Genomic DNA, 7,358 nt, shown 5'->3' with positions numbered 1-7,358 from the left:
TCTGAGCAACTGTTCTCCAAATCCTGTTGGGTAACGGGGGCAAATGGCACCCCCATCCTCCAGAAGAAAAAGAATTAATACCCCTTTATATTACTTAAGAAATCAATTACTATTCTTGCACCAGTCCCTGGTATGTCTAAATAACCCACATCCCTTTGGGGCAAAAATATAATTATCAAGATGGATGCATGCTTAAAATTTACCCAAGCTCTGAATTCATCTTTCTCTCTACTAGCCCTGTTTCTCCTGGAAAAGCTACCTAAATTTTTAGCCAATATCTTCAACCTAGATAGTCCTACCTCAAAGGTTTAAAAATAGCCCACACTTATTCAGACAAACACTAGCAAGAAATCTAACCGAGCAATCTCTTGGGGGAGGGATAGCTTCTACAGTATGTAGATCACCTCCTCATCTGCTCCCCTTTCACAGGACTTGCACAGCAACATGTGATACAAACCATAACTTCCTAACAGAAGAAAAATGACTTTTGTCTAATTCAAGGGTTATAAAGGTAAAGAGGTAGTTTTTTGTAAGGAAGGTTATAAAAAAGAGATTTTCTATGAGAAAGGATCTTGTGTGGGAAATTCTTTTCCTAAAGTAAAATGACTGGTTGTTTAAAAAGAGGTATGTTTAGGACAAGTCGGAAAGTCCAAGCATTCATTGATGGTCTGCATAAGTTATGAGAAAATCTGTGAAAGGAAATTTATAAAAGGGATGTTGTATGTAATTAAGACACAATAGTCTCTCTAAAATTGGTTCCTTATGCTGTGTCTAATTAAATTCAAACACTTTTTCGCTGAGTTTAACTTCCAGGTTATCTAAATTGGCTTCCAATAAGGAAAAACGTCACATTGCAAGAGGTTTTCCTTTGCCTTTTTGGTAACTGACTTAAGAAAGAAAATTTTATCTTCTAGAATTCAGCAGTTTCTTTCAAGTGATGCTGTGAATGAGATCAGTCTCTCCCCAGTGATGCCTGCTACCTTTATGATCTCCCCTGGATTCAGCTGGACACGAGCTTTGCCTTGACATGCTCCCGCTGTTTGATGAGTCCCTCCAGCAAGATCTAATATCCTAAGTCCCACAATCCAGGACAATGACTCACAGGGTCTCTTGACAGACCAAAAACCATAGGTAGAGTCAGCGTTACACCCACAGTCAGCAGGAAGTAGTTGGAAGATGAAACTTCCACCCCAATGCCAAAGATTTGTCATTGTTTTTCTATTGGGACTTGGGGGTGGGGGGGATGTGGAGTCTTAATAAGTAATCAGCAACAAGGAAGGGGTCCCAGGTGGGGGAGAACAATTATTCCAAGAGACAGCTAATCACAAACAAACCACTGGCACAATTACCTTGCTCTCCACATAGCCCCAGCAGCACGTCCTTGTTCTGTGAATAGCCTATAAAACTTCAATCCAGCCCCTGCCTCTTTGCAGAAAGCCCCTTCTCTGCTGTGCTGCCCATTGCTTCCTTGCAATGTACTTTCCCTCCAATAAATCTGCTTTTTTGTTTTACCTACAACTGTCTTGGTAAATTATTTTACTGCCTGCAATGCTGGCTCCAGCCAGTGACACCCATGACAGTCACCTTTTCTGTCTCCTCAATAAACAGAGATCAGGCTGCACCAACAACATATGACAAGACTTGAGACAAACCATTTAACAATCACAGGGTCAGATGTGGTGGCTCACACCTGTAATCTCAGCACTTTGAGAGGCCAAGGTGAGAGCATTGCTTGAGGCCAGGAGCTCAAGACCATTTAATCATCACAGAACTTGTGTTTCCTCTCTGTAGGGCAAGAGTTGACTAGACAATACCCATAGTTATTCCCTTTTACAATCATACAACTCTTTCACACTATATTGAGGCCCAAAAGCCAACATCCCAAAACACAGTGCTTTGACAAGCTGAACTAAAGAAGAGGCCTCAAGATCTCCCTGACTTCTCCTCCATTATGCTACCAAAGCCAGGCTGAAATTCCTTTATCTGCCTCAAGTCCTGGCCCACGAAAAAGACAATCTTTTTTTTCTTCCTCTCCATGTTAGTAAGACCAAGAAGATAACCACATCTGAACAGACCCTTTCCCAAGAAAATGTCTGCCTGCCAGCCTCATTCCAATTCCAAAGAGAACTATTTACAAGTTAATTTTTGTTGCCAGATCCATTTATTCTCCTTAGTAATCCTTTATTGTCCCTCAACAGAATTCCTCCTCTCCTCCCTCTCATAATCTGTTTGGCCAGGATTCTAGTTACCTGTCTTTCTATAACCTTAGGATGGTATTAATATATAAGATTCTGATCCCTGTTGGTGAGTGAGTAACCACTTTGTTCTCCCTGTATTTACATTTATAAATTTATATGCCTTTTCTCCAATCCAGTTGCCTTTTGTTAGTTTATTTTTCAGTGAAACTTCAGAGGGTGAAGGGGAAAAGTTTTCCCTTGGCCCCTAAACAACCTATATATTATGTTACTACGAAATAGAATATGCCTCTTTTCTCCTCTTTAATCTAGTGTGACAAATCATAACATTCAAACAATATCTTTTTCTTTTAATAAAACTGCTCTACTACACAGTGGCTCACACCTGTAATCTCAGAATTTGGGAGGCCAAGGAGAGAGGATTGCTTGAGGCCAAGGGGTTCCAGACCAGCCTGGAAACATACTGAGACCCCATCTCTACAAAAAAAGTTAAAAATTAGCTGGGTGTGATGGCACACACCCGTAGTTCTAGCTACCAGGGAGGCTGAAGCAGGAGTTCTGGGCTGCAGTGAGCTATGATTGTGCCGCTGCACTCCAACCTGGGAGACAGAGCAAGGCCCTGTTTCTTAAAATTAAAAAAAAACTGCTCTACTGCACTTCAACAAAAGGATGAGCCTAGCTACCAAAGAACCCTATAGCTGTAGCTAGACCTTAGTACAAGCCCTTACTTCTTTATAAGCTGTGAGCCATTGAGCAAGTCATTTAAAATTTCTGAATTCTCTCATGCATGATATATGAATATAAAGCCCCATCTACCTCATGCAGTTCTTGTAAGATTATTTATGTGAAAATACCCAACAAATATGAAAAACATAAAAAACAAAGATAAGATGATATTAATGTTTATGTCAGGGCTTGTAGTCATCCATATTTCTGAAACTTCCCCCCAAAATAAAAAAAAAAGATAGGAATTGACTTCCAGTATAAAGTCTCTACTCCTTCTGAGTTCATGCACATAATCTCCATAAAAGGAAATTACAACATCTCAATTGTAAACCACCTCACTGAAGCTGAGTTAAAGAACAAGTGGAGCTATATGAGTCACATGATGACTGCTATGCACCTGTAGATATATATAAGGAGATGAAAGCAGAAAATCTAAATTGGTAACAGAATTTTCATTGAATTCTCTTAATTAGCTCACTCCAGGGGAGTGAATATAATCCACTCTCCCCATTTCCAGAGGCTTCCAATGTATCAGGACTCTATTTTTATTACATGAATTGCTTTACAAATAAGCACAGTGTGAAGCATCAATGCTTTATAAAAACCACATTAATGCACCAACTTGTTCAGAAGCCAAGAAGAGAATAAGATCACACATCCTAGAGAGAATTTAATGGGCCCAGCTTGAAGTTTTTTCCAGCCAACACCATTGAACACCTGTTAACAATCATGAAGAAGTCACAGGGATTATCGAGCATCTAAGTACATTGCACTAAATTCCATACTCCAGCAGTGTTGATTTATTTTCTCCTAAAGTTCCCATTGTTAAACTTTCTCACCAATGACTAATCCTGGAAAAAACATCTCTCTCCCTATAAGACTCCCAGATGGGACCAAATGATTTAAGAAAAAATTTATTAAATAGAAATAAAAAATATTTTGCTTGGAAAGAGACACCATAAGCAAAGTAAAAATAAAGTGGTGAATGGGGAGAAAATGTAAATTTACAACATATATCACACAAAAGGTTAATGTCCCTGATACATGAAGAGCTTCTAAAAATAGGGAACAAAATTTCCATTAGCCTTATAGAAAAACGGGCTATAGCCCAGAAAAAAATGCAAGTGGTTCTCAACTACAAGAGGCAAATGAAAACTTTACTGATATACCATTTTGCACTCTTAGATAGGCAAATCTGCAAAAATTTGACAAAGCAATCTTTTAGAAACGCCTAGGGAAATAGAAACATCCTATTGATGAATAAATATTCACCAGGAGATATGTGATGGAATAAACTACAGTCCAGTGATTGTCAAATTTTGGTGCTTATTAAAAAAAAGATAAACCATAACAATTGTTGAAATGGCTATATATGGGGGAGGGAGGAAATAAGGTAGACTTCTTGAGATATACCTTGTTTTAGAGATTTGACTTTGGAAGAATGTATTTCACTTAACTAGGAAAAGAAATAAAATTTAAATAAAATATTTTAAAATAATATGAAATAAATATACCTAAGTGTGTGTCCAGATGATGGCAAGATAATTCCAAATAACATTAAAACACACTTGACTGTATAGCCCCAGTGGAATATGTCTCATCAAAAAATGTGCAAAAAGTAAAATAAAATAAAATGTCAAATTCTTTTTAGTTATCATATTGTTAGCAGTAATGTAGGCATTGTTATTCAGAGACTATTATGTATAATAGAGCAAATAAGTAATTATTGGATATCTTTAATATTTTTAACTCTATCATTCTCACTGTAATTGATAAGATTCTTGGCATAGGCAAAAGGAGATACAGATAAAAGAAGAATTACATACAAACATTGTAATCTTGAATTTGAAGTATCATTTTAAACTCATAATTTATTTTATCTTTTTTTAAAAAACAGCATAAAAGAAACCATTTCTTAGCCCTGTGCCCTTAAAAGGCCACCTGGATTGTGTTCTCTAAATACCATTCCCCACTGAAAAGAAACAAGGCTCTTTAAAAAATGGCTGATCCCAGGTCTGAGGCAGGAAATGCACAAGATCATGAGGAAACCTCCAAAGACAACTGCAGTCATGTGAAAAGGATGCAGAAGCTGACTGAAAGAGACTCCCACTAGCCAAAGAAGGGATACTTTGAGGCTCAATGAGAATAACAACTGCAATGTATTGAAACACATCAAATATGTTTAGATTCATGAGTTCATAATAATATTCAAAAGAAAAAGAAGGAAAAAAGTGCTGAATTGATTTAAGACATGCCAGTGAAACCAACTTATTATTTTTAAAACCAGTAAAGAATTCAACCACTTATCCTGCTTTTCTTATATAAACTGTACCACTGGATTATAAAGTAGAAGATGAGGGAAGTTATCTCTTTATAGAAATATTCTATAATACATTTGAATTCGAACATCACCATTTTGCAATTCCTAATGAAATAATAGACTAAGTAATGATTATTAACAGCTGATAATATAGCAAAACAAGAGATAACCAAATATCACCTGCCTCTTAACTAAAGGACAGAGCAGTTTGGCAATAAATAAATAAATAAATAAAATTTCTAAAAATTGAACTTGAGTCTGATTAAGACTCTGGATCCAACAATGAATTTACAGGAAAGGCAAAGAACAGAATAACACGTTTAACAACATGGTAACATTTACTGATTGTATTTCACAGGAATATAGTCAGCAAAATCACCACTGTAGGGAACAATCACAAAACAAACTAATTTCCTTAATAAACTGCAAGTAAAAAAATAAAGAAGAGATGAAACCTATAAGTTAAAAGAGAGTCAACAAACATATCAACCAATTACCCTGAAGAGGCCTTACATATATCCTAATTCAAACAGAGAAAGAAAGTTGGAAATTTGATTACTGATAAATAATTTGTTCTTGGGTTTTTGATGGGGTTTGTCTGTTTTTTGAGACAGGGCCTTGCTCTGCCGCCCAGGCTGGAGTACAATGGCATGATCACTACTCACTGCTCTCTCAACCTCCCAGCTCAAGTGATCAATCCTTCCACTTTAGGCTCCCAAAATGCTCGGATTAGAGGTGTGAGCCACCACACCCAGCCATGATTGGTAATTGGATAGTAAAGACTTATTGTTAATTTGGGTGGGGTGACTACATACTAAAATATTTACAAATAATATGATATCATTTCTGGGATTTGCCTCAAAATATTGTGAAAGGGAAAACTGAGAAACATAGTGGTGTTCTAGTAAATGCTTAACAACCAGCTTGAGTGGAATGAGGGCCTGATTGGTGTTATATGTATCATCTACTGATTGCCATGGTACAAATACACCCACCACGACAAATTTCAAGCTATCAGTATTGGGCAATGATGATTATAGACTACCTTCACAGGTGTTTAATTACAAAGAAAATATACAAAGTTTTCCAGAAATAACTGTGGATCCTCTCCCAACTATAATAATGCAGAAAAAGACTTCTAAGAGTAGATCTTCCTATTACATTTGAGATAAATTCTTCCTTGTTTCATAAATTCCATAAAAGCATTTCAAAAATCTCTATGATGTTTTATATTAAATTTAGCAGCATGAAATCTAGAATTAGAGCTGGGAAGAGACACTCACAATCCATTCTTTCCAACTGGTGCAAGCCACCTCCAGTATACCACTGGAGAAGCTGTATAGATTAAATAAGGTTGGCCATGAATTGACAAGCTTTTCACCTCAGGTGGTAATGTGGTTTGGATCTGTGTCCCCACCCAAATCTCATGTTGAATTGCAATCTCCTGTTGAATTGGATCATGGGGGTGGATTCCCCCCTTGGTGCTGTTCCCATGAAAATGAGTGAGTTATCATGAGATCTGGTCATTTAAAAGTGTGTACCACCTCCCCCTTCTCTCTTGGCCCTGCTCCCGCCATGTAAGAAGCCTGCTCCTGCTTTGCCTTCCACCATGAGTAAAATTTCCCTGAGGCCTCCTCAGAAGCAGATGCCACTATGCTTCCCGTACAGATTGCAGAACTAGGAAGCCAATTTAACCTCTTTTTTGTATAAATTACCCAGTCTCAGGTATTTCTTTAGAGCAGTGCAACAATGGACTAATACAGAAAATTGATACTAAGGAGTGGGGCATTCATATATAAAAATACCTAAATATGTGGAAGCAGTTTTTGAATTGGGTAACTGGCAGAAGTTGGAATAATGTGGAGGTCTCAGAAGAAGACAAGAAGATGAGAGAAAATTTGGAACTTCCCAGAGACTTGTTAAATTGTTGTAACCAAAATGCTGATAGTGATAAGGACAATAAAGTCAAGGCTGATGAGGTCTCAGATGGAGATGAAGAACTTACGGAGAACTGCAGCAAAGGTCACTTTTGTTATGCATTAGCAAAGAACCTGAGAGCATTGTGCCCCTACCATAGGGTTCTGTGGAATTTTGAACTTGAGAGTGATGGTTTAGGG

The 7,358-nt window shown here is 37.4% G+C and overlaps 1 annotated feature.

The window, feature by feature from the left end:
* Positions 360 to 1,559: an enhancer, noted in NCBI's record as "BRD4-independent group 4 enhancer chr12:46478170-46479369 (GRCh37/hg19 assembly coordinates)". NCBI's record gives its function as "activates an origin of replication core promoter dependent on BRD2, P300/CBP, MED14 and CDK7 cofactors, and independent of BRD4, by STARR-seq in HCT116 cells {active_cell/tissue: HCT116}" and the evidence as "EXISTENCE:reporter gene assay evidence [ECO:0000049][PMID:35650434]".

The sequence above is a fragment of the Homo sapiens genome, chromosome 12 (genome assembly GCF_000001405.40).
Source record: "Homo sapiens chromosome 12, GRCh38.p14 Primary Assembly".
Taxonomy (NCBI): Eukaryota; Metazoa; Chordata; class Mammalia; order Primates; family Hominidae; genus Homo; species Homo sapiens.
Note: the sequence above shows the minus strand (reverse complement) of the source record. Positions and strands in the feature narration are given on the sequence as shown.